This window comes from Homo sapiens, chromosome 9, assembly GCF_000001405.40.
Source record: "Homo sapiens chromosome 9, GRCh38.p14 Primary Assembly".
NCBI lineage: Eukaryota > Metazoa > Chordata > Mammalia > Primates > Hominidae > Homo > Homo sapiens.
Window position 1 is genome coordinate 4,619,902 of NC_000009.12, and position 26,788 is coordinate 4,646,689.

General features: G+C 38.4%; 1 protein-coding gene and 1 pseudogene across 18 annotated transcripts in view, besides 1 other annotated feature; one reads left to right on the forward strand and one right to left on the reverse strand.

Annotated features, from left to right (window-relative positions):
• Positions 1-26,788, reverse strand: part of SPATA6L (spermatogenesis associated 6 like) — a 77,660-nt gene that overhangs the window by 31,081 nt on the left and 19,791 nt on the right. For 7 of the 18 annotated variants that reach the window (NR_148445.2, NR_148446.2, NR_148447.1 and 4 more), the window contains 4 exons: positions 15,374-15,498; positions 9,190-9,267; positions 5,426-5,665; positions 2,507-2,609 (listed from right to left, as the gene is read on the reverse strand). Coding sequence is in view for 12 of the 18 variants with exons in the window: in NM_001353486.2 (NP_001340415.1) it covers positions 2,507-2,609; positions 5,426-5,665; positions 9,190-9,267; positions 15,374-15,498 (546 nt within the window). In the remaining 6 variants the exon portion in view is untranslated. Of the gene's footprint in view, positions 1-2,506; positions 2,610-5,425; positions 5,666-6,524; positions 7,159-7,851; positions 7,956-9,189; positions 9,268-15,373; positions 15,499-26,585; positions 26,628-26,788 lie in introns of those variants that run through there. The other 11 variants (NM_001353484.2, NM_001416130.1, NM_001353485.2 and 8 more) reach the window with 7 other exon arrangements.
• Positions 10,897-11,449: an enhancer, noted in NCBI's record as "OCT4-NANOG hESC enhancer chr9:4630798-4631350 (GRCh37/hg19 assembly coordinates)". NCBI's record gives its function as "activates a minimal SCP1, AML or CMV promoter by ChIP-STARR-seq in naive and primed H9 embryonic stem cells {active_cell/tissue: H9 hESC(naive and primed)}" and the evidence as "EXISTENCE:reporter gene assay evidence [ECO:0000049][PMID:30033119]".
• On the forward strand, positions 13,131-13,869 carry RPS6P11 (ribosomal protein S6 pseudogene 11; annotated as a pseudogene).

Sequence of the window (26,788 nt, forward strand, 5' to 3'; positions counted from 1 at the left end):
AAAATGTTTTTAAAATGAATATTTGTAAGGCAATTCTAAGGTCAGCATGGCTTCCCCCAGTGTGACCAGGGCTCAGGCAATGACAAGGGACTTTTTCTGGACTGCTGATCCCCCTCCCCACGTCACCGGTAGATATAAAAAGAGATTTTTAAAGCCAGGCCATTTTCATATCCTTTGGGCATATACATATGTGTGTGCCACCTTGTCCCAGGAGCTCTCTTCTCTCCCACCCCCAGCTGGGCAGGAGTCAGCAATGCTAAGGCCCTTTCAGCTATAGCCACAAACCTGCCCTGTGGCCTCATAACCTCCTTCTCATAACCTCCTTCCCCTGTGGATTCATAACATGTGGTCTCATAACCTCCTTCCTCCTGTGGCCTCATAACCCTGTGGCCTCATAACCTCCTTCCTCCTGTGGCTTCATAAACTCCTTCCTACCGGTTTTGAGCCCTACCTTTCACACGGGGGCCTGCCATCATTCCCTTGCTTCTCAAAGTGCAGTCCATAGACCAGCAGCATTCATATCACCTGGAAGCTTGTTAGAAAAGGAGAATCCTAAGCTCCACCCCAGCCCTACTGAATCAGAATCTGCAGTTTAACAAGAGCCCCAGGTGATTCAACTGCACATTCAGGTTTGAGAAGCACTGCTGTGTTCTACCTTAGGCCTGGATGAATGAGCTGACAGGTGACCTAAGCAAAGGGCTGGCTTGAAAGCTACAGGGATTCCAAGGATCTGAGCCCAGAGGTCTGAATGTCTTCTCTAAATGTAGGTATGCCAAAAACTTGGTGTGTGACCTTTACACACATTGTAATCTCTCTGGAACCTTAGTTCTCCACATGCCAGGATTAAGAAAAGACAAAGGCCGAGACCAGTGTGATGTGTGAGTCCCATCGTAATAGAGCCTGCATTAAACCCAACTTGTCCTCCCCAGGAAAGGACATTTGCTGTTGCCTGATTTCACTGCAGTAGGAAAGACAATGCTGCTTTATAAGCTACACAGGTGATTTTCAACTCAAAGAACTTAAATTAAATGTCAGAGGTGATGAAGCACATTCTGCTTCAAACTCTACTCTGTCCTTGCAGCTGCTGTCAAACAGCTACCACAGTCTAAGAACACTGGCTTAAGTTTCCATAAGAGACTTAAAAGTAGTCCCTTAAAATGTAAACCTTTAAGCCTAAGATAAAGATCTCTATTGTCAGGGATGGCAACAGATAGAAAGTCCAGTACTACCAGCAGGCAAGAGAATGGACCACCACCATTCCTTTCCAGCCTAAGAATTTTGATTAAGTTCAGGAATGACTGATCTTCACCGACATGACCTTCACTACTGGCATGATTCATGGATTTCAGTCAAAAGCCTACAAGGGGTTCCTTAACCCAGTGACTCTCAATGTGTGGTCCAGGGATCTCCCCCAGGGGTACCCAAGACCTTTCAGGAGATCTGCAACGTCAAACTGTTTTCATAATAATACTAAGACATGATTTGACTGTTTCATTCCCATTCTCTCACCACTGCACAATGGAGTTTTCCAAAAGCTACAATGATGTCATGACATCACCATCACAATGGCTAATGGAATGTGTGCTATTCTTTTTTTTTTTTTTAAGTCAGAGTTTCACTCTTGTTGCCCAGGCTGAAGTGCAATGGCACAATCTCAGCTCACTGCAACCTCTGCCTCCCGGGTTCAAGCGATTCTCCTGCCTCAGCCTCCTGAGTAGCTGGGACTACAGGCATGTGCCACCACGCCCGGCTAATTTTGTATTTTTAGTAGAGATGGGGTTTCTCTATGTTGGTCAGGCTAGTCTCAAACTCCCAACCTCAGGTGATCTGCCTGCCTCGGCCTCCCGAAGTGCTGGGATTACAGGCGTCAGTCACCGTACCCGGCCGTAGTCTGTTCTTATATTTTAAAAATGTATCAGTTTTAATTTCTAACATGCTAACTACTGATATTATCCACATCAAGAAAAGCTCTTTGGGCTCTTTAATAATATTTAAGAATGCAAAAGGGCCTGAAATTTAAAGGTTTAAGAACACTTTGCCTTCATCTAACTGCTTCAGATAGAGTTGGCTTCCCACCTCGCTGACATGAAATCTTGTAAAGCAAATGTTACATCTCCTGATCACCATCAATCTCCTGTTTTTTGCCATCCAGAAAAACGGAAAGCCTTATTTGTTAGGCATCAATGGTGACTTTGCAAGGGGTTCACAGCAGGACAAGTTGCACTCTGCTTCCCCGGAACAGCCAGGGGACAACTGCAACCACAGCACACTCAGCACGCCGCTCAGAACGGTCCCCTTCAACGGCGAGGGGAATGCTCAGACAGAAGCTTCTCAGCTGACGCTGCTTCATGGGAACACTGCCCTGGAAATTCCACAGCTGGAGAGTACTTGAGAATTAGGCTCACAGTTCTGAACATCACCTGTGATTCCTCAGAATGAAAGAGTATACTCAGGACGCATTTGTTGCCATAGGGAAATGTACAGGAGTAACAAGAAACTCGAGTACCTCTTCTCGTTGGAAACGGAAAGTCTGAAAACTTAGATTTTCTTCTAGACCTCCTCAAATGATGCTCTGAAATATTCTCACCAAAGGGCTTTGCACTGTCCACCTGAAAGTAAAGGAAAGAAATAAGACTAGAATCCACTATAGCTTCTAGTACCCTCCCCTCGTTACCGGAATGCCTGTCTCCCCCTCAATCACTGATTACACGGGTTGGAAAAAGAAGGCTGGAAAACCACCTAGAGCACAGTCTGCAAGTTTGTTACATGTTACACCTAAAAGGAGAAACTGTTTGTCCTTCACTGAGGCTAGAACATGAGGACGTAAGCTAAACATTAGCATAAAAACTAAAGTTAGACACAAATTATATTCCAACAACTGGTAAGGATCCCGCACAGAAAGAGAGCAAGTGAAGCTTTATTTCACAATCTCTTAAAATAGGACAACGTTTCACATTCCTGAAACAGTATGAGTAGTGCTGGCCTAAATGGGGTCCTCAGTGACAGCAAGGGATTCCCATAAGATGACATTTCTACTTTCCACATTCCTCTCTGGTCCGAGTATCTACATTTTTGAAAAAAGAATAAGGGTAGCTAGGCCGGGTACAGTGGCTCACACCTGTAATCCCACCACTTTGGGAGGCCGAGGAGGGTGGATCACCTGAGGTCGGGAGTTCAAGACCAGCCTGACCAGCATGGAGAAACCCCGTCTCTACTAAAAATACAAAAATTAGCTGGGCTTGGTGGCGCATGCCTGTAATCCCAGCTACTCTGGAGGCTGAGGCAGGAGAATCGCTTGAACCCGGGAGGCGAAGATTGCGGTGAGCTGAGATCATGCCATTGTACTCCAGCCTGGGCAACAAGAGTGAAACTCCGTCTCAAAAAAATAATAATAATAAATAATAATAATAATAGCAACTATATTACTATGTTATTTATCTTTGGTGACTGACCATATTCTCCTAAGGAAAAATTGGGTAACATGATCTGCAAACAGGTCAAAATACTTGAACTAGGGACTCTTCCAAATAGCTACAATATAGAGTTGCTGATTTGTTTTTTACTTTCTGTTTTTTAACATTTTAATAAGGCAGGTTATAATGTTACTTTTCATTCTACTTTAATATATTGACTTGAATTTACAGTCTTTATAACATCAGGTTTTCTAAATTTTAATGCTTCTACTTAAGGAAACATCACATATCATCAGAAAATCTGACTAAATAAAAAAATTAAATATGTAAAATCACTGATAAAAGACTTTGGCACATAGGAAAAGCTGTATAAGAATTTGTTAAATAAAATAAGTATCAAACAAGTTTTAATCCCCTAAGAAATCTATCAAGATTTTAAGATTACTTAGTTCATAATGGCATGCACTAAAGTTGTATTTTACAATAATTTATATCAAATGAAGTAAATCAGATATATTTTCAATGAAATGAAATAAATGAAGTCAATTCGATATTTTTATGGTTACATGTTTAAAGATTGGTTGTTAGATTTTTGCCAGATGTCATTATCCAGGCCACCAAGCAACAGCTGTTGTGTATTTTTTGTAGATAGCTGTTCTGAAGTTTCTAGCCAAACAGCTCTGTTTTACCTACAAACCAACTCTACATACAGTTATCTCAACAGCACCTTCACTTCGAGATTTACTACAATTCATAGTCTCTGCCTAATACACAAGCATCACCACTGATGACTTTAAATCAAAATATCAACTTAATGATACTATCAATAGTTAACATTCTGGAGAATAAGTCATTAATTAGAACACGAACTGGTGTTCACGTAGACTACAAAATAATATAGGAAATTTTTTTAATGTAATGTTAATTGGAATATATAGGAAAACTAATCTGTATATACAGTATAATTACAACTTTGTGGAAAAAATAAAGCCTATGAATGCAAGCATAAGGCAGAGAAATTGCGTCAAATTAAATCAAACAATGATTTTATTATGCTGGTGACCCAATGGATAAATTTTTTCTTGAACTTTTCTATGTTTTCCATTACTTTTATAGTAGCAAAAAAATTGTAGGCTGGTGCAGTGGCTCATGCCTGTAATCCCAGCACTTTGGGAGGCTGATGTGGGTGGATCATCTGAGGTCAGGAGTTCGAGACCAGCCTGACCAACATGGTGAAACCCTGTCTTTCCTAAAAGTACAAAAATTAGACGGGTGTGGTGGTGGGCACCTGTAATCTCAGCTACTCAGGAGGCTGAGGCAGGAGAATCACTAGAACACGGAAGGCAGAGGTTGCAGTAAGCCGAGATTGTGTCACTGCACTCCAGCCTAGGCGACAGCGCAAGACTCTGTCTCAAAAAAAAAAAAAAAAAAAAATGTAAAGAGACTAAGAGAACTAGTGTGACTAAATTTGCCTACCACTACCTGAGGACAAAATCTAAGATGACTTTAATTAAGGGCTTTGAGTATCGCACAACATTGCTTCTTCCTACAAATAAAACTTTTCTGGCTCTTCAATATATGGCCACTAAGCACCAATCTCATTAATAAAACTCATGTAGTTTTCTTTAAAACTGATGAAGCTTTAGTTTTGGATTGATATAGAGTGTGTGCCAACCTTCATTATGCATTTGCAACCTCTGTCAGTTCATTGACTCTTCAAGATAATGGCAAGTTATCATGTGTAGGCATTATACTCTGTTAATAATTTTCAAAAATTAAAAATAGGGATGGCTGACATTTACTGAGCAAGTCCCCTGTATAAGGTACCTTTCTAGGGGTTTCCTGACAACGATCTAGGAAATGAACATAATTTAATCACAATTATTATTCAATTTGAAGTACCTTTTTATTGAATATTATTCATTTGTTGTTATAACTCAACCTTCCTTTCTTCCACCCTCATCCATATCCTCACTATTGCAAAATGCTCTAAAAAATAATTTTAGGCTCACGTGTCTAACAACAAATGGAGGCTTGCTTCCTCCAGAGATTTTGAAATTATTTCCAAGGTTCAACTGAGCTGGCTGGTCCTGGAAGAAATGCCTGGTAGAATATTGAGAGGGCGCCCGGGCTTGCATGCCTTTGGGCAGTCTGTTGAGATTATTCTCCTTTAGTTTCATCTTTATAGTATTTAAGGGAAATATTGGTTCATGTGATGTAGATAAAGGCCTCCGTGACTCATGTCTTTCTTCCTGAAATAAACAAAAAAAGAATATTTTTTAAAATAAAGAAAGAAAAGAAGAAAATTCAATCAGAATATAACTGTATTTAATTGAATTTTTAAAAATTAAGGTCAAAGATAACACACCTCAGATTTATAAAACATAAACTTAAGAAGGACATTTCTCTAATTTTTTTCCTGTTCAGTTTAACATCAGTAGTATTTATAACTTGCTAGTATAATGTATTCAACTAATTAACAGTGAGATTTATTTATAATAGGGGGAAGTTAGAAAGTGTCAGACACCTCCAATAGATAGATAATAGAGAATTTGACACATAGAGGGGTCTAGCAATTTCACTTCCAGGAATGTATTATAAGGAAATAACTATGGCTATATGTATAGCTACAAAAATGCTTATGATAGTTTAAAAGTTAGAAACCAGCTGTATTGGTGAGTAAGCAATTGCGCTCAGTTGCAAATCCACCTCAGCTATATAATACTGGTCCAGGGACTCTACAAACTCCCTTTTTTGCTTTTCCACCTGGTCTCTGTAGGCTCTGCCACTGGAAGGTGCTAGAGAAAGTGCAAGGCTGGAGGAGACACAGTGACTGGCTACTTCCAGTTTTGCATTCTATTCCTGTTAGCATCATTCCTGCAACCATTCTTCGCCTTAACAGCTGCAAATGGCTCCAGATTATAGCCTTTCCCCTATTATGCCAGGACTAGCCCCATTGCACTCCTCCAGACATATCAGCGGCAGCTGACCAGAGCCCCCTGTTCAGATTTGAGTCTAGACCCACAGGAACCTTCCTCCAAGCTCCTGTGGCACCAGCAGTGAGCAGTGCCCCTCCTTTGAGATCTGAGTTCCAGCTCATCCAAGTCCCACCTTCGAATTCCTGAAGAAGCATCCAGGAAAGCAGCCCTTCTCCAGAGGTCTGGGTCCCATTTCTGTTCAGTTTCTTCTTTAAGCTTCTGTGTTCTTGCTGAACCAACATCTTCCCTTTGTTTCCCCAGCCCTAGGGGTGGAAGCTGCTTCCTGCAGTTACTCTGTCATTTCAGTGTTCCCCTTTTATCTTTCAGTCTTTCTTTCAACCCCTGTTTAGCCATTTTTAAAAATTAAATCTTTCTGTTACAGTCACAAGTTTGGTGTGGTTTCCTGACTGGACCCTGGCTGATATATCAGTTAAGTGCTCAACAAAAGGAAAATGAATGGCCAGACAGATTACAGTACTTCCATACAATGGAATACTATGAAGCCATGAAAAATTGTCTGGCACAAGAGTACCTGAGGACATGAGAAAATGTTTATCATAAATTAAGTAAAAAAAAGAAGGGTACAAAATAATATGCAATGCAGCGTGATCTCAATCTTTTTTAAAAGTGTGATGTGTGTACAGAATATACTAAAAAAATTAATGCTGATCTCTAAATGGCAAGAATGAGACAGTTTTTTTTAAGTTTTGGGTCCTTTTTGCTTATTTATCTTTGTTTTCTAATTTTCTAACATAAAGTGATACTTTTGTTTTAAGGGAAAAAAAAACAGACAGTGTGGTGGCTCATGCCTGTAATCCCAACACGTAGGGAGGCTGAAGCAGAGGATCTCTTGAGGCCAGGAGTTCAAGAAAAAAAACAATAAAACTATTTGTTTAAAAAGTTAACACTGAAAGAAGGACCTAGGAAGTTAAAACAGCATTAAGATGGTAGAATGGAAGAGAAAGAAACACTGAAAAATTGCTATGAACACATCACAAATAAATTGGAGAGAAGAGAGGATAAATAAGGCAAAACTAAAAAGCAGATAATGCCTTCCTTAAAATTAATCATTGGTCTCCCATTATATGAGTTATTTAGCTAAGAGTTTTGATAGATTTGCACAGATTATTGGCCCTTCTTTCTCATTAAGTATTCTGTAACATACAGCCCACATTTTCAAGGTCTTTTCTAGGACCCTACATGAGATCTGGGATAAGCATTTTGTTTCACTTACAGGTTTTACTCTACCCTGTCCCAAAGTATTTGGAGAAGCTTCACAAACTACCTTTATTCCTTCTCCATCTTGTTCTAGAAAGGATTTTAAGTGGCAACAACATTATATGCAATAAGGTAAAAGCAAAACAGAAAGAAATTGGGGTGAGGGAGGCAGACACTAGGACTGAAGAAGCAAGTAAAATTGAGGTAGTACACATGGATGCCCTAAGACGCTTCACGCTTACCAAAGACGGACCATGAATACAATCCGAGCATCAGCCTCAGCAAAAGAAAGGTGGCCCCATGTTTACTGCAGCACTATTCACAATAGCCAAGATTTGGAATCAACCTAAGTGTCCATCAACAGATGAATGGATAAAGAAATTATATTACATACACATAATGGAGTGCTATTCAGCCATTATTTTTTATGTCTTGCAACAACGTGGATGGAAGTTGAGGCCATTATATCAAGTGAAATAAGCCAGGCACAGAAAGACAAACTTTATATATTCTCACTTATTTGTGGGAGCTAAAGATTAAAACAATTGAACTCATGGAGACAGAGAGTAGAATGATGGTTACCAGAGGCTGGGAAGGGTCATGAGAGCTGAGGGGGAGTGGGGATGGTTAAAGGGCACAAAAAAAAAATACAAAGAATGAATAAGATCTAGTATTTGATAGAACAACAGGGTGACTATAGTCGATAATAATTTAACTGTAAATTTTAAAATAACTAAAAGAATATAATTGGATTGTTTGTAACTCAAAAGATAAATGTTTTAGGTGATGGATACACCATTTACCTTGATGTGATTATTACATACTGTATGCCTATATCAAAATATCTCATGTACCCCATAAATATATACAGGTACTACGTACCCATAAAAAATTAAAATTTCTAAATTTTTATTTTATGTTTATTATTTATTTATTTATCATTATTTTTTTCTGAGATGGAGTCTCACTCTTGTCACCCAGGCTGGAGTGCAGTGGAGCCATCTTGGCTCACTGCAGCCTTGACCTCCCAGGCTCAGGCGATTTGCATGCCTCAGCCTCCCCCGTAGCTGGGACTACAGGCGCACGCCACCATGCCCAGCTACTTTTTGTATTTTTGGTAGAGGTGGGGTTTCACCATGTTGCCCAGGCTTTTCTCTAACTCCTGACCTCAGGTGATCCACCTGCCTCGGCCTCCCAAAGTGCCACCATGCCCAGCCTAAAATTTTTAAATTTTTAAAAAAGAAAGATGGAAACTGTTGTTCATAAGATCACAAGTAAATGTCATAGAACAACAATAACAAAAGCTAATTAGCTCACTTACATCAAATTTGTAATTTTAGCTTCTGAATCACCCTGCTTCCAGCTACATCATGCTGCCAAACGTATGTACCAAACATACTCTAATATGACTGGCTGAGCAAACAGTTTGAATTATAGAAATACAAACCTAGTAAAAACTTTCCAGGTTTCTACTTGTTTAGTTTCATGTAAACTTAATAAACTGAGTTTGGGCAAAAATTCTTTAAATTTGAAAAAAAAAAATCCGGTCATTTCTATCACTAGATTTGTATTGTACTTACAAGAAATCTGTTTCTATGCAGAAACACACATTCTCTGATGGCTGTCCTTGTAGAAAACTCTATTTTGGGAGCAATGCCCTATAAAACAGCATAAAAAAAGCAAATAAAATTACTAGAAACAGTTCTTTAGCCATCTCCTTCTAACTTGAAATCATACAAGAACCTAACTGCTCTTCTGTGTGGCATAATCCACACACATTATCTAAAATATATATGTAATAAGAATAGCTAAACACTTATGTAATATATATTATGTATCAGAGCCAGGCCTAAGTAATTCATATATATTAACTCATCTAATCCTAACACAACCCCATGAAGCAGGTTTTATAATAGTATCTCCTCAACTAAGACACAGTTTAAGTAACATGTCCATCTAGTAATGAGGGCTATTAATTGAACCCAGGCATTCCGGCTCCAGTGTCCATGATGTTAGCTACTCTATTTAAAACACTGTACCATGGAATTGAATGAGATTACCTAGAGAGAGGTATGAATACAGAGCCTTCCTCTCTACCTACCTGCTTTGAAAAACTTGCTTTATATTTTATATCAGATATTTATATTCATTAGATCTAATTCCAAATTCATTTTGTTTCATTGATTTTTCTATTTCTATTTTTTGTTCTTAGTACCATACTGTCTAAAATATTGTGTTTTATATATGTGTGTGTGTGTGTATATATATATATATATATATATATATATGCCCTATCCTGTTTAATTCTTATAATCCTATAGGGTAGGTACAATTATTACAATCATCCTGTTTTACAGATGATAAAACTGAAAAATGGGCAAAAACTAGAAACAATCCAAACATCCTTAATGGGTGAACAGATGAACTGTGGTGTATTTACATAATGGAAACTACTCGGTAATAACAAGGAACAAATGAATGACACACACAACTACATGGATGGATCTCAACAGCATTCTTCTAAGTAAGAAAAGCCAGTCTCAAAAGGTTACAGACTGTATGATTCCATTTATGTGACATTCTCAAAAAAACAAAACTATGGTGATAGAGAAAAGACTAGTGCTCAGGGTGAGGGTGAGGAAGTGCCTATAAAGGGGTAACATGAGGGGGATTTTAGGAGGGATGGGATTGTTCTACATCCTGCTCGTAGCAGTGGTTTTACAAATCTATACATGTGTTAAAATTCATAGACCTGTAGACCAAAAAAGCATCAATTTTATTGTATAATAATTTTTAAAATACAACTGCTTTCCCCAAAAAACAGGCCTAAAGAGACATTAAGGCAATTTCCCCAAATTTACAAGGTTTATAAATGGCACCACAGGGACAGGACCTGGATCTGACTAAATTACACTGTCTCCACCTGACCCCATCGACTCACCAGTGGCCCCTCTGCATCACCTCTCTGCTCTACTCTCCCCCAGAGAACACCACCTGGCCAAGTTACTTCTTGCCCTGAGGGCATCTTCCTTCTTTTCTTTTCCATCCAAATTTTACCCATCTCTCAATGTCTGATCTCACTCTAACTCCTCCAGGTAAGCCCATAGTAGTCTCTCCCTCCAGTCTCTAATATTTCATTTTCATTTATACCACTTATACTCAAGATGCTTCCAAAACAAGGTTTGCCCCAGCTGAAGCCCTCAAGAGAAAAGAAGCCAACACCTACTGCATGCTTATTACATGTGCCAGTGCTATTAAGGGTTTCTATACATATACCAGGTATTGTGCTAAACACTATATATTACCTCATCTAACACTCACAATAATCCTGTAAGGGATGTACCATTACAGTCTCATTTTACAGATGAGTAAACTAAGGCACAAAGAGATTAACCTAACCAAAGTCTCATAGCCATTCATGACAAAACTGGGAATGAACCCAGACAATCTGATTCCACACTTAACCACTGTACATGCAGCTGCCTAATAGATTTTCAAATTCCTGATCGACTTTGCCCAGAGTGAAGGAAGGAAGTCCCCTGCTGGTAAGGAATCCACACTCTGTAACACACTTTTGTTCACCTTATATGACCTCCACTCCTTGCAATGACTTACAGACAATAAAGAAGAATGTATTTTCTTTTTCATACCGTGCTGTTTTTAGCATAACATTATACTTTAGAGTTGAAATTCAGAGACTATATCTCATCCAGTCTCCTTACCAATGGAACGATGGTGATAATGGTTGGTCAATAAAAGGATTTAACATAATAAATAACACAATACATAAATAAAAATAATTTTTAAATGCTTTTTATGCTCACTTTACAAAGTCAGTCTTAACCTAACATGATAATAGATAATTGTGCAATCTTCTCATTGCCTCATAGGAAAACAGTATTATTATCTTTTATTATCTATTATCTAATAGATGAGACAGTAATATTATATATTATCTGATAGATGAGACAGTAATATTATCTATTATCTAATGGATGAGACTAGATAATATTGCAAAAATAAAAAAATTCTTGACCTCACCAGGAAATAAAAAATACCATTAAGTAGCAAGTGAAATAAAACAGCAAAATACACAAATACAAAGAAAAGCCACATGCTAGTGGAGGAAATAAATCTAATTATTAATCAATTGATAAATTAGGAGAAAATAAAGTGAATGATTTGTCTCACATATATGTAATTCATTCTTACTTCCTACAATATTAATGAAAAGAAATCAGATAGTGGGCTGAAATAAATATGAGAAAATTAGCATCATTCAGTGAGTAAGAGTGCAGGCTCTGAAGCCAGTCAGGCCAGCACGAGGGTCCCTCTTCCACCACTCACCAGTTCTGTGACCCTGAGGGCATTTCTGAAACTCTTTACACCACCTTCCCTCTCCATTAAAGTGGGGAAAGAATAGCTGTCACCTCACAAGGTGAAGGAGGACTGAACAGGATAATCCATGTAATGAGCTCAACACAGTGCCTGGTATACAGTGAGCACACAGTGAACATCAGCTACTTTTTTTTTTTTTTTTTTTTTTTGAGATGCAGTCTCACTCTGTCGCCCAGGCTGGAGTGCAGTGGCATGATCTTGGCTCACTCTGACCTCTGCCTCCTGCCTCAGCATCTCAGTAGCCGGGATTACAGGTGTGCACCACCATGCTCAACTAATTTTTGTATTTTCAGTAGAGACGAGGTTTCACTGTGCTGGCCAGGCTGAAACATCAGCTATTATCGAAGTGATGGCTCTTTTTTGTGGTATCTCGGAGGCAATCAGCTGCTTCAAGATGAAGCTGAAGGCCGGGCACAGTGGCTCATGCCTGTAATCCCAGCACTTTGGGAGGCCGAGGCAGGAGAATCACCTGAGGTCAGGAGTTCGAGACCAGCCTAGCCAACATGAGGAAACCTCGTCTCTACTAAAAATACAAAAGTCAGCCAGGCGTGGTGGTGAGTGCCTGTAATCCCAGCTACTCAGGAAGCTGAGGCAGGAGAATCACTTGAACCTGGGAGGCAGAGGTTGCAGTGAGCCGAGATCGCTGCACTGCACTCCAGCCTGGGCAACAGAGCAAGACTCCATCTCAAAAAAAAAAAAAAAATTAAGTGTGTTACTCTTTCATCTTAAACACTTTTGAGGATTTGCAATGTGTCTAGCACCTAGATTACAGCCAGGGACATTGGTTAAGAGCTGTTGGAAACAAAACTAAAAGCAAACTCAACATATGTGATGTTTATGGCCCTCAGATCCTTAGTATTGTGTGATTCTCCCCCATTAACATGTCTTTCTGAAATTGTCTATTAAAGCAGAGGAAATACCTGCCAAAGGAAGTATGTATTGCATTAATCAGGACATAACTAATATTCTCCAGTTCAGAATAATACTTACTTACTTGTGAAAGCAACATGGATGTGATCCCCAACACAGAATTTTCATGACACTTTTATTGTATACAAATAAATACATTAACTGTTACTTGGTTAGACATCAAAACAAAAACAAACAAACAAAAAAAGAGACGAAGCTGAATATTTCCTTTCCAGCCACTGGCTGCCAGAAATTAATTGAAGTGGATGATGAAAGCAAACTTCATACTTTTTATGAGAAGCATATGGCCACAGAAGTTACTACTGAGATGCTCTGGGTAAAGATTGGGAGGCTTATGTGGTCCAAATCAGCGGTGGGAAAGACAAACAAGTTTTCCCCATAAAGCAGAGTATCTTGACCCATGGCCAAGTCTACCTGCTACTGAGAAGGGGCATTCCTGTTATAGACCAAGAAGAATTGGAGAAAGAAAGTGAAAATCTGTTCAGGGTCACAATGTGGTCACCAATCTGACCATTCTCAACTTGGTTATCATTAAAAAAGGAGAGAAGGATATTCCCGGAGTGACTGACACTATGGTGCCTTGTCACCTGGGGCCCAAAAGACCTAGCAGAATCTGCACTTTTCAATCACTCTAAAAAAGATGATATCTGCCAATATATTGTAATAAAGCCCTTAAACAAAGAAGGTAAGAAACCTAGAACCAAAGCACCCAAGATTCAGTGTCTCGTTACTCCACATGTCCTGTAACACAAACTCTGGCATATTACTCTGAAGAAACAGACTACTAAGGGAAATAAGAGAGAGGCTGCAGAATATGCGAAACTTTTGGCCAAAAGAATGAAGGAGACCAAAGAAAAATGCCAGGAATAGATTGCCAACAGTGCAGGTGGCCCTCTCTGTGAGCTTCTACTTCTGAGTCCAGTCAAAAATAAAACTTTTTGAGTAACAAATAAGATCAGATCCCACCCTCCAAAAACCATTGCTATGGGAATTGGTTTTATTTTGCTTTATAGAATGGTTGAGAGAAATTGAGTCCCTCTATCTATTCACAAATTATTTAAAATATAATTTGATTAAGTTAATTGTAAGAATACTTTACCTCTAATGCATGCAGGTGTTTCCACACATTTAAAAAACCCTTTCTCTAATGACTAACTGCATTTATAAATAACTATAAATACAACCTCCTATAGGTTATTTTTCCTATTTATGACCATAAAGTTAAAGAGAGATAACACTTAAGAAAATATAAGAAAGTTTGTTTCTTTTTATCTTGATACTTGGCTGGATACCAGCTCAGTGTTTGTAGATGCCTTTTCTTTAACAGAGAGCTAGACAAACCAAAGTTAATATAACAGAGTATCCCCTACCTAATTCTCATCAGTTTTTAACCCCTTTTATCTTCTGAAGAGCAATATCCCAATAACTCAAAATAAAATAAATTAAAGGCAAGCTTCTCACATGTACCATGGATTTAAATGATACATGAAGATCTTGGAGAAACAAAGATAGTTTCAGTGAAATTCATCAAACTCTGAAAGATAATGAAGGTCTTGGGGTTACAGTCATCAGGAATTCTGATTAGGACAACCTTTAATGAATGCTTGCTGTTTGATGTATTAGAAGCTCTGTCATGATAAGCTTCATAGAAACAGAGGTCCTGACTGTTATATTAAATATATTCTGCACAGTACTCTCAACAAAGTAGAAACAATAACAAATTATATTAATTGAAATTCATGGGGCAATACGAGAAACGCTGAGTATCAAAATATTTTTTATAATTCTCAAAAGTGTGGCCTTTTAAATGGAGATCATTCAAGTGATGGAAAAGTCAAGAAAATCGTCAGGGTTGCTGTGGGAATAGAAATCGTCAAAGACAACATCAAAATGAGTATCCTGAATTTGGGTTCAGATAATGCCCCCCAAAGAATTAAATTATCAACGGAATATCTGCTACATCCTTCAAGATCCTTCAGTAATATCAATTTGCGAGCCTCTGTCAGTTTCCTCTTTGTTAAATGGAGACCATATCTGCCTTGGCTAACTTGAGAATTGTTGGGAGAAAAATATCTTACGTAAAAAATTGAAAGCGCAAAATAAAGATAACTACTGTCGCTACTCTATTTAGTCATAATAGCTATAACTAAACAAACAAATCTTACTGTTAATCTGCAACAAAAGGAGGCTTTTATAACTATGTGACAATGTAAATATGGCAATGATTTCAGCCTGATTAGATAAAACTTCCACCTCTCAGATCAATACTGGAAATCAGTATAATTTGGTACCTTGAGTTGGGCATCAAAACAGAGCTACTAAACAGAACAGCAGGGGTACTAACCAAGATAAAGATCAAACCCTGTCAGGAATAAAACGTTCAGGTCCCAAGAGTTTCTCTCCTAATAGAAGCCCAGATGAGCATGAATCACTTACTGGAAAACCCAGAGCCGTCTTCATGAGCACCTCCCTACACCTCCTAGGGTGCGAAGGTGTCAGCTTGGGCTCTGGGAAAAGAAAATCTCGTGTGTTTTCTTCGTAGTAGGCCAACTCATCCCACACTAGAAAGAAAATAGAAAAAGCATAAATATCTGTATTTACACCTCCAGGCTTAACAAAATAAAAGTTCAGGCAGATGATGGCAGAGATGGCACTCAGGTAAAAATAGACATATTGATCCTAGCACATGTTATTCAAGAGGAGACTAATTTCTACTACTTTTTATCTCGTGGATAATTTTTTAAAGCCTTCCAAAGTCATAACAGAGAAAAAAAGACTAAAGAGATGTTCTACAAAATAGAACAAAAAGGAAAAACTATCTTTCCATATATCCATCCAATTTTTCCTGCAACAAATTTTTACTAATGATAAACCTTAACCCAGGCACTGAGGATAGAACAGGAACAAGGTGGACATAGCATTGTTCACACAACTTTACAGTTTAGACTGGGGTTCAATGTGTTCTGTGATGCATGGATGCCAAGGGCCCAGATGACAGCTACAGCTGTGATTCTCAGCAGGGGTACCAACCCCGAGGACATTTTGGACATTTGTGGAAATATTTCAGGGGCAGTAGCCAGAGGTGTGAGGGAGTTCTGCAGTGCTCAAGACACTCATGCACATCACACTATCTCCCCCATCCCCAGTGACTTTCTAATATTCTGCAAACATTCTTGCAGGCTAAAAACTATTTTATAATTGTCTGAGCCTAGAACTTAACTAACTATGTAACTGAAAATAATTATATAACTATGTTGCATGTAAACACAAAGCCTTTTTTTTTTGCATAATTTGGAAATACACTGAATTTTTCCAAGTACCGTGTAAATCAAGGAACAATTGTATTTTGTTTTGTTTGGATCTTTAACCAGACCTGTTTGATATTTTGGAAATCATGTCCCATCTAAATGCTTCATTATGCTTGATACTTACATATTAACATATACATTTTATTATAAACCACTTTCATTTTTCCTTTATATTACAATCAGAATATTATATTAATTTTTTACAGTGACTTGTATAAGTTGATTATATTAACTACAAATATTTTCAGTATCATAAAAGGGATACTACAAAATACTCATTACCAAAAGATCTTGGGTCTAATGGGATGAACAATTACTGAGCCGAAGGACAGAAAGCTACCATCTGAATCACCTTTGACCACACAGCAGGTGCCACACAAGTGATCTGGACTGAGAGTGGTCCCCGCACAGAGGACCATCAAAAAAGTAACTATAGCCAATGAGGCAGTTTTGCTATTTAGTGGCTGCCACTTTACTTATGAGAAGAATTCTGATGAGGGTTGCTTTGTTTTCAGTACATCAACTGTAGAACATAATTGACCTTACATCAAATAATATGATGTATTAAATTCTTCCTCCTACTAACTCCATTTAATATTAATGTTTCAGTTCTACCGAGGAAAGAATCAAAGTGCAAAAAGAAATTATTCTATATTTTTCATCATAAATAGCATTTCTTCCCACTCGTGTGCTCCCAGCCACGCTCCAGCCACAATGGATTGATGTTCCCTCCTCAGCAATGTACTTCCACCATGCATGCTCTCCTGCATTACTGCCATGGCTGTAGTTGATCTCCCTGCCTCCATTCTCCTGCACTCAAATCCATTGTCCGCACGCTGCAACGTTTTAAATACATCAGACTGCCTTTCTCCTGCTTAAAACCTTCCAATGGGCTTCCCATCGCATTAGAATAAAATCTAAGCACCCTACCCTAGATTTCAAGACTCTATATAATCAGGCTTCTAATAATCTCTCCTAATTCATTTATTGCCACTCTCCCCCTTGATCATCGTTCCCTGTCATCCCTTACCCTTCTTGCTGTCCCTCAAACACGCCAAGCTCTCCTCCACATAACGGTTTTGCCTTATTGTTCTTCCTCCCTCTAAGGTTCCCTCTCTGGGTCTCTGCATGGCTGGCTCCTTCCTACTGAATAACAGGCTTGGTTTAAATGTCATCTTATCAGAAGGTGGCAACCCAACCTAACAGAGCACTCCTTCCCAGACACTCCCCATCACAATACCCTATTTTACTTTCAACGTAAGATTTACCACTAATTGATATTTTTGTTCATGTATTTATTCGTGATCTGCTTCCATCAAGGCTCCATGAAAACAGTGACTTTGTCTTTTCTGTACATTATTCTACTGCTGGCAGGGCTGTCCCTAGAAAGGTGTGAACTCAGAGCAGTTCAATCAATACAGGGCCCAGCCAAGACAATCACACCTGAAAAGGGGCCTCACTGTCAGCATCTTCAACAAGCCCCCTGAAATATCACTAACGGTAGACATTTTAAAATTGAACTTCAATGATGTTCTGAGATGAGTGGTGAAGTGCAGCATCCTGGATGCTGCCCCCAAACCTGTAGAACAACACTTGGGACATAATGGGGACCTGACAAATGCTTCTTAAATGAATGAACATGAGGACTAAAGTAAGATAACTTGCTTAAGTTCCAGCTTACGTTAGCCACTCAATAAGCATTAGCTACCCTCTTGGAGACTCAGTTTCCACACTGTTAAAAAAAGGAGAGAGACTAAATGTTCTCTGAAAGCTTTTCCAACTCTTACCCTTCATTCATTTTCCAATAATTTATTTTCATTCATACATTCAAAAAACACTTCATTCATTGAGAACCTCCTATGTAGTAAGACTTATAGACACTGGATTTACACTAGTGAAGAAGATAAATATAATCAATGCCCTCCAGGAGCTTACAGTCTAAGAGTATTAAACAATTATACAAATAAAGGTATAATTAAAAATTAATTTCCATAAGAGTAAATTACTAGGAATAAAGAGATAGAGAGGCTAGGAAGACAGGAGGGAAGATGGGTGTAATTATTATTATTATTATTATTTTTTGAGACGGAGTCTCGCTCTTATTGCCCAGACTGGAGTGCAGTGGCACAGTTTTGGCTCACTGCTACCTCTGCCTCCTGGGTTCAAGTGATTCTCTTGCCTCAGCCTCCCAAGCAGCTGGGACTAGAGGCACCCCGCCACCAAGCCTGGCTAATTTTTGTACTTTTAGTAGACACGGGGTTTCACCACGTTGGCCAGGCTGCTCTGAAACTCCTGACCTCAGGTGGTCCGCCTGCCTCAGCCTCCCGAAGTGCTGGGATTACAGGTGTGAGCCACCACGCCCAGCCAATGGGTGTAATTGTAACATCAATTATCTGCTTCATTTACTAGTCTCATCCTGGCCTTCTTCAACCATGCTCCTCTGACAATGCTCCCTGTGATGGGTATAATCCTCCCACCCTTGTTGGCCAAAAACAGACTCTGCCTCCATCCAGAAACTCTGAAGTACAACCTGCAAATGGAAAGTGATGTGTCAATTTCCCCAGCTATCACTAGCAACAAAACCCAACTTTCTCCTGAAGCTTATAGTGTTAAGAACTCTTTTCTTTTCTTTTCTTTTCTTTTCTTTTTTTTTTTTGAGATGGAGTCTCGCCCTGTCACCCAGGCTGGAGTGCAATGGCGTAGTCTCAGCTAACTGCAACCTCCGCCTCCCGGGTTCAAGCGATTCTCCTGCCTCAGCCTCCCGAGTAACTGGGACTACAGACGCGCACCACAAATTCAAGTTCTAGGGTCAGGCAGGGTTGGGTTCAAATCCCTGCTCCACCACTTACCAACTATGTGATCTGGGGCAAATCATGTAAACTACTTAACTTCAGTCTCCTCTTCAAGAAAATGTAAAAACTGTCATTGCACCTGCCCTTTAAGACTACTGTAAAGACGAATGACAAAGCCATGTAGAATGCACAGCATAGCACCTGACATTGCCTACCATTACCACGATTGCTCCCTGACACCAGCCCAGCAGCGGCCCCAGAACTGCTTTGGTTTCTGTAAACATCATTATGTTCCTACTGGGAACAAACACCTAGATGCATGATATGATGTTCTACACAGGAGGCCTTTCCTTTTTCCTCTTTCCTTTCATATGCTTTTGGCTACTTCTTGTCCCTGCATCTAAAGGATAGCTGCTACATTATTATTCCTGTGTTTATCAAGAATTTAGATAAAAGTAAGAGGCTGGAAAATTGAAAGGGAGCTCATACCCTATCTTCAGAATCACAGGAATAAAAATAGACTGAAACAGGGTTAGACAAATAAATAGAAGGCTATGAAGCTTCTCAAGACAGTCTCTCTGGTGTGGTCATTTTCTAGAAATCCAAACTGCCACCAAGTGTGAAAACGTCAGCACACTAAGAGGATGGTACAGCAAGAGCCTAGGTTAGAAATAATAAACATATTCACAGGCTGAACAAGTCTTATAGGTCAAGGGAAGTATCTGAAAGAACTCAATGTTCTTCTTAAGAGCTAATTACACAGACAGTGACATCATCAATGGCATCAACGAACTTCTCCCCCAAAAAGGAAACAAATGAGACTTTAAGAGAAATAACAATTTTAATAACAACATTGGCTGAAGGAATATCCAACATTTTTAGAGCATGTCAGAATTGACAGCGCGCTTCCAGATGCAGGATCACATTTGATTCCCTCTTTACAGATAAGGAAACTGAGGCTCTGAGAGTTTGACCTGTCATGATGCCACACGGCTAGTGATACCACATGGCAAAGAAGGAATTCAAAACCAAATAATCTGAGGCAAAAGTTCTTTCCTTGCTAATGCCTATAAAAGTATAAAAGCATTGCTATGAAAGTATAAAATATTGCTATAAAAGCACTGCTATAAAAGTATAAAATTAAGCCCTGTTAAGTGAATGGGTGCCCACTAGAATAGGCTTTTACAGTTGGACTGAATATACCTGACTTACCCAAAGCGAAGGTATTTATCTCAGAGGTTAATAAAAAGAAAGCATCAAGCTCACTGTGGAACAGGATCACGCTGCCCCCCTGTGTCCATTCCTTTTTTCCCACCTTTGTAAACTGAAGAACAGGAAGGGTCTTTATTTCTTGGCAGCAAAGATCACTAGACTTCTTCATTCTTTAGCAGTAAAGCTATATGCACATCTGGATATTATTACTTGTATTATTAATTTACTTGTACCATTAACTTAATGATCATAACATGTCTTTTGAGTATAAGTGTGTTTGAAAGCAATGAGAAAAAATATCAAGCAATAAATACAGCTAAATGAAAAGGTAACAATTCAGCCAATAGAGAAATTGGTCCCTGAGAACCCAAATATGGCCCATGTGACCCCACAGTGCAGTCCACAGGAAACTTTAAGAAAAAAAAAAAATTTTTGCTAGTATCAAGGATCAGCAGATCATGAGGGCTCACTGCCACTACTACGTGCCCGGAGCCACCAGCATCACACTAGGAAGACTGGCACAGTGTAGATCATGTGCAAAGTATGCCTGTAAAAACATACCTTGAACAAATTAATGGATCAAACTGTACTACATCTGAAGCTAAGTAAAATCAATTGTTATTTTGAGCAATTCAAATTTAATTCCACTAAAATTATAATCTGAAATTGAGAGATTGTAAATTAAAAAAACAAGTATAACACAGTTCCCATTGTGCATCTTATTAATTTTTGAGTTATAACCAGTATTTATGCACTCAGCTAGAATATTCTGCAATCATTCTTTTCAAACAACTATTCTTGCAACCTTTTCACAGATGGGCTTCTTGTCACATGAAAAACATATAGCACTCCAAGACATATTAAGTTTTAACAAGCAAGTTGCAGAATATATATAGTCAACATATATATAGGTGTGTGTGTATATATGTTGAAAATACATATTCTGCAACTGACTTTTTAAAATGCAGTATATCTTGGACTGTCATATGTCTTTCAAGAGACCAGAAAACCAACATTTAGTATATTCAACAACCATAAAATATATACACACGTAACTATATATACTAAATACTAAATATATTCGTGTTTATATATACTGTATTTAATATATAGTCATCCCTAAGTATCCACAGGAGGTTGGTTTCAGGAACCCTTGCAGATATGAAAATATCCATGAATGCTCAAGTCCCTGATATAAAATGGTGTAGTTGCGGTGAGTTGGTCGAAGGTAAAAAGAGCATAATAATAAAACATTAAAAATAAGAAATAAAATGGTGTAATATTTGCATATAACCTATGCACATCCTCCTGTATACTTCAGATCATCTCTAGATTACTTATAATACCTAACATAATGTAAATGTTATCTAATAGTTGTTATGCTGTATTGTTAAGGGACTAATGACAAGAAAAAGTCTGTACATGTTCAGTACAGACACAACCATCATAGGCCTAACTACATTTTCGAGTAATGGTTAGCCAAATTCATGGATGTGGAACTTGACAATCAGAAGGTCCAACTATATATAGGGTATGCGCGTGCATGTGTGGTTATTTTACGGTTGGCTGAATGTACTAAATGCATTTTAGAAGGTTTAAAAAGACACACATCAAATTGTTTTGTTCTGTTTTGTTTTGTTGAGACAGGGTCTCACTCTGTTGCCCAAGCTGGAGTGCAGTGGCAAGATCACAGCTCACTGCAGCCTCAACCTCTTTGGCTCAGGTGACCTCCCCAGCCTCCCAAGTAGCTGGGACTACAGGCATGCACCAGCACACATAGCTAATTTTTTTATTTTCAGTAGAGATGAGGTTTCACCATGTTTCCCGGGCTGTACCTGAACTCCTGTGCTCAAGCAATCCACCCACCTTTGCCTCTCAAAGTGCTGGGATTACAGGCGCAAGCCACCATACCTGGCCCACATCAAATTGTTAATGGTAATTATCTGTCAGGGATTGTTGAATGGGCTTTTGACATTTTCTTTTACATACTTTCGTGTTAAATTTTTTATAGTGAGATTACTTAGGTATTGAGTAACTTTTTTAAAATCCATGTAAAATTAAATAAGACCAAAGTGGGCATGCTTCTACTTCCTCAGCATACTAAAATATAATGTGCCAGCAGTGATATATGTTTGAACATAAAATTGGGTCAAATAAGAATAAAAAACTTATGGAAAAAAACTCAATGCCCTGATTTCAGCCTGTCACTTTTAGGCTGAAAAACATTCAGTGAGAATTTCTGAAAAGTAGTCAGGAGGCACCTGCTCAGTTCCGTCTACCTATGAAGGTAATGACATCTCCAAAAGCACCTATTCTTAAATTCACAGAGTGGGGTTCTTTTCTGTCTCCAGCGGCAGCCTTTGCCAAAGAACCAAGAAGCAGAAGAAAGAACTACAGACTCCTGGGTTCACTGCACTTCACTTGGGCCCTTGACCTGCTCCAGTGATATCCACAGCAGGCAGGACTATGATCCCTATCAAAAGCCTCCTCAGTCCTCTTTGCTTTAGTTGAGACATTTGCTAGTCTCATCTTCCTTCTCCCATGCTCTCTTAAGAAAAAGAAAAGCACACACCATAAAACATCAAAATAACACAACAAAACAGGGAAAATATAACTGTTTTAAGCATAACTGATTGAAAACATTGTTAAAAATAAGAATTTATAACAAAATCAACATTTATATCCAGACATCACTCCATAAGTAATCAAAGGACAGTGACAGTCACTTTATACAGAAGGAAAGAAAGAAAACAAATCATAATATGGGAAAATGAAAATTTTTAAGAAGTTTTAAATTTAAGGTTGTCACAGTCACATCTAAAAGGGAGATAGATCATAAAATAGGATAAAATATATTTTTATCTATTTATTTATTTAGATGGAGTCTGGCTCTGTGGCCCAGGCTGGAGTGCAGTGGTGCAATCTTAGCTCATTGCAACCTCTGCCTCCCGGGTTCAAGCAGTTCTCCTGTCTCAGCCTCCCAAGTAGCTCGGATTACAGGCACCTGACATCATTCCCAGCTAATTTTTGTATTTTTAGTAGAAACAGGGTTTCACTATGTTGGCCAGGTTGGTCTCAAACTCCTGACCTCATGATCCGCCCACCTTGGCCTCCCCAAGTGCTGGGATTATAAGCGTGAGCCATGACATACTTTGCAAACACAACAAATCCAATTGACAGTATCCAGCATTAACTAGGATATGGGGAAGGGGCATGCCATGCACTCCTGGATGCAGTAGAAGTATTGGAACCTTATTGGGGATCAGTTTACCCCAGTTTAAAAGGCATGGTTCAATCTAGTAATTCTATTATTTGTAAATATACCAAGAGAGAAATATTTTTATAAAAATGTGGAAAAAAAGAAAATCTAAATGCTCAACAATATTAATTTATGGATAACACCACCACTATGGAAAAATACACAGCTATTGAAAATGACAAGTAAACTACAGGTAATAATGTAAAGTAAGAAAAGTAAAACCCAAAATACTATGGAAATACTATTTATAGACCTATAAAAAACACATATGTAAATTAATAAAATTCTTTATAGCTATCAAAATAATGATGTAGGCCGGGGGCAGTGGCTCACGTCTGTAACCCCAGCACTCTGGGAGGCCGAAGCAGGCAGATCACCTGAGGTCAGGAGTTCGACACCAGCCTGGCCAACTTGGTGAAACCCTGACTCTACAAAAAATACACAAAAATTAGCTGGACGCATTGGCAGGTGCCCATAATTCCAGCTATTCAGGAGGCTGAGGCAGGAGAATCACTTGAACACGGGAGGTGGATGTTACAGTGAGCTGAGCTTGCATCACTGCACTCCAGCCTGGGCAACAGAGCTAGATTCTGTCTCAAAAAAATCAATTTGAAAAAAAAAGATGTAGATTTATGCATTTAGAAATGACAACATAGGCAAGGCATGGTGGCTCATGCCTATAAACCCAGCACTTTGGGTGGCCAAGGTGGGAGAATCACTTGCATCCAGGAGTTTGAGACCAGCCTAGGCAACATAGTAAGATGCCATCTCTGCAAAAAAAAAAAAAAAAAAAAAAAAAAAAAAAAAAAATGTAGCTGGGCATGGTGCATGCCTGTAGTTCCAGCTACTGGGAGGCTGAGGCAGGAGAACTGCTCAAGCCCAGGAGGTCATACCACTGCATTCAGTCTGAGTGACAGAGTGAGATCTTGTCTCAAAAAATATATATAAAAAATAAAATTAAATTTAAAAAATTTAAACAACAATATAATGGTGACATACAAGGGGGAAAGCTAATAACAGAAAAAAAACTATGCTATGTAAAAATTCCATATCTATGTGTTCTTCTATCTACAGAGAAATATCAAGAAATATGTTCATCAAAATATAAATAAAGATTCTCTCAGGATTACGTGATGTGGGAATGCTTTTTACAAGTAAAAATTATGAAGCTGTTTTCATTTTGAGAAAGAAAAAAAGCAGAAATGCGTAATAGCAGAGATCAGAGGAGAATTTTCTGAGTTTTCAGTATTCTCTCTCTCTCTCTCTCTCTCTCTCTCACACACACACACACACACACACACACACACACACACACTTCTATGCCAACAACCCTAAAATCACCAGATAGCTATACTGAAAGGCTATTTATGAGAATTGGTGCCACTGGGTGGCAGGTCCTAACCTCTCTCACCAGCTCAGGTCTTATGTCACTCAAGACACACTGCATAGCAAAAGTACCACAGAACAGCTTCCTCCTAGAATCTCATGATTCTAGCACAGGGGTCACAGACTTTCTGTAAAGGGTCAGACTACTAAATGTTTTAGGCTTTGTAGGCCATCTGTTCAAATTTACTCACCTCTGTCATTGTTCTGCAAAAGTGGCTATAAACACTACTTAAACAAATGAGTATGGCTATGTTCAAAAAAGACCTGTATTTATGAATAACGAAATTTGAATTTCATATAATTTTCACATCACTAAATATTCATTTCAAAAATTATTTCCAACCATTTAAAAATGTAAAAACCAAAAATAGTTTGGCAGTTCCTCACAAAGTTAAACAGTTACCATATACCCCATTCCCAGGTATACACACAGAAGAACTAAAAGCAAATATACAACAATTTGTACATTAATATTCAAAACAGCATTATTTATAACATCCAAAAAGTAGAAATGTCTTAGTCTATTTTCTGTTGCTTATAACAGAATACCTGAAACTGGGTAATTTATTTTTAAAAAGCTATTTATTTCTTACAGTTATGGAGGCTGAGAAGTCCATGGTTGAGGGGCTGTGTCTGGTGAGGGCCTTCTTGCTGGTGGGGACTCTGCTTAGTAGCCAGGTGACACAGGGAATCACATAGTGAGGGTGCTGAGCATGCTAGCTCAGGTCTCTCATCCTCCTCTTATAAAGCCAACAGTCTGACTCCCACGATAACCCATCAGTACATTAATCCATGAATAGATTAACCCATTCACAATGGTAGAGCCCTCATTACCCAATCCATATAGAAGAATATTATTCAGGCACAAAAAGGAATTAAAATCTGATACATGCTACAACATGGCTGAACCCTGAAAACATTAGGCTAAGTGAAAGAAACTAGATATAAAAGGCCACATATTGTAGGCTTCTATTTATATGAAATGTCTAGAATGAGAAAATCAACAGAGATAGAATTAGTGGTGGCCAGGGCCTGGAGGAGGAAGGAATGGGAAATGATTGCTAATAAATACAGAATTTCGTTTTGGGGTAATGAAAATGTTCTGGAATTAGTGGTGATGGCTGTCCAATCTTATGAACATACGAAAACCAACTGAATTGTACATTTGAAAATGACGAATTATATATGATTTAAATCGCAATAAAAAATGTGGAAACCATTTCTAGTTCACGGGCCATACAACAATGGCCTACAGGCTGGATTTGGCTGGGGACTATAGTTTACCAACCCTGTTCTAGCATCTAACAATGAAAATGTCTTAGGGTTTTACACACACACACACACACACACCCCACAAATTAGAACACAGCCAAAGGCCAAAACTTGAAATCAGCTAAGCCAGGACTGAAAAAATTATTTAATAATTAGATAAAGTTATTAAAAAATGGAAAGACAAGGAGTCTGTTTAAGTTATGCTCCCTGCCATGAAACACCATAAAGTTATTATTCTGAAAATAGACAAAATTTAATAGATTGGCAGAAAAAAGGCATGTGTTATATAAACTTACAGACACATAAAGTTGTATGTTATTTTCAAACACAACTCTTAAGTACAGTCCCCATTTTGACAGGCCAAATTTATTTTAAAATCATATTAAGCTAATTTAGAAACGGATTTACTGCCACATTACCTGGAGGAACTAGCTGTATTAATTCAAACCTGGCTAGGAAGCCTAAAAAGGAAAAAATGAGATTTTAATACTTCCAAAAATTGCCACAGTCTTTCAATAATTATTAAGTTTTAAACTGTCATAAAACCCACTTAATAGTAATAATAATAAAAATAATAATTAAAAATAACTGCCAAACCAACATCAAATCAGGTATTTCTAGA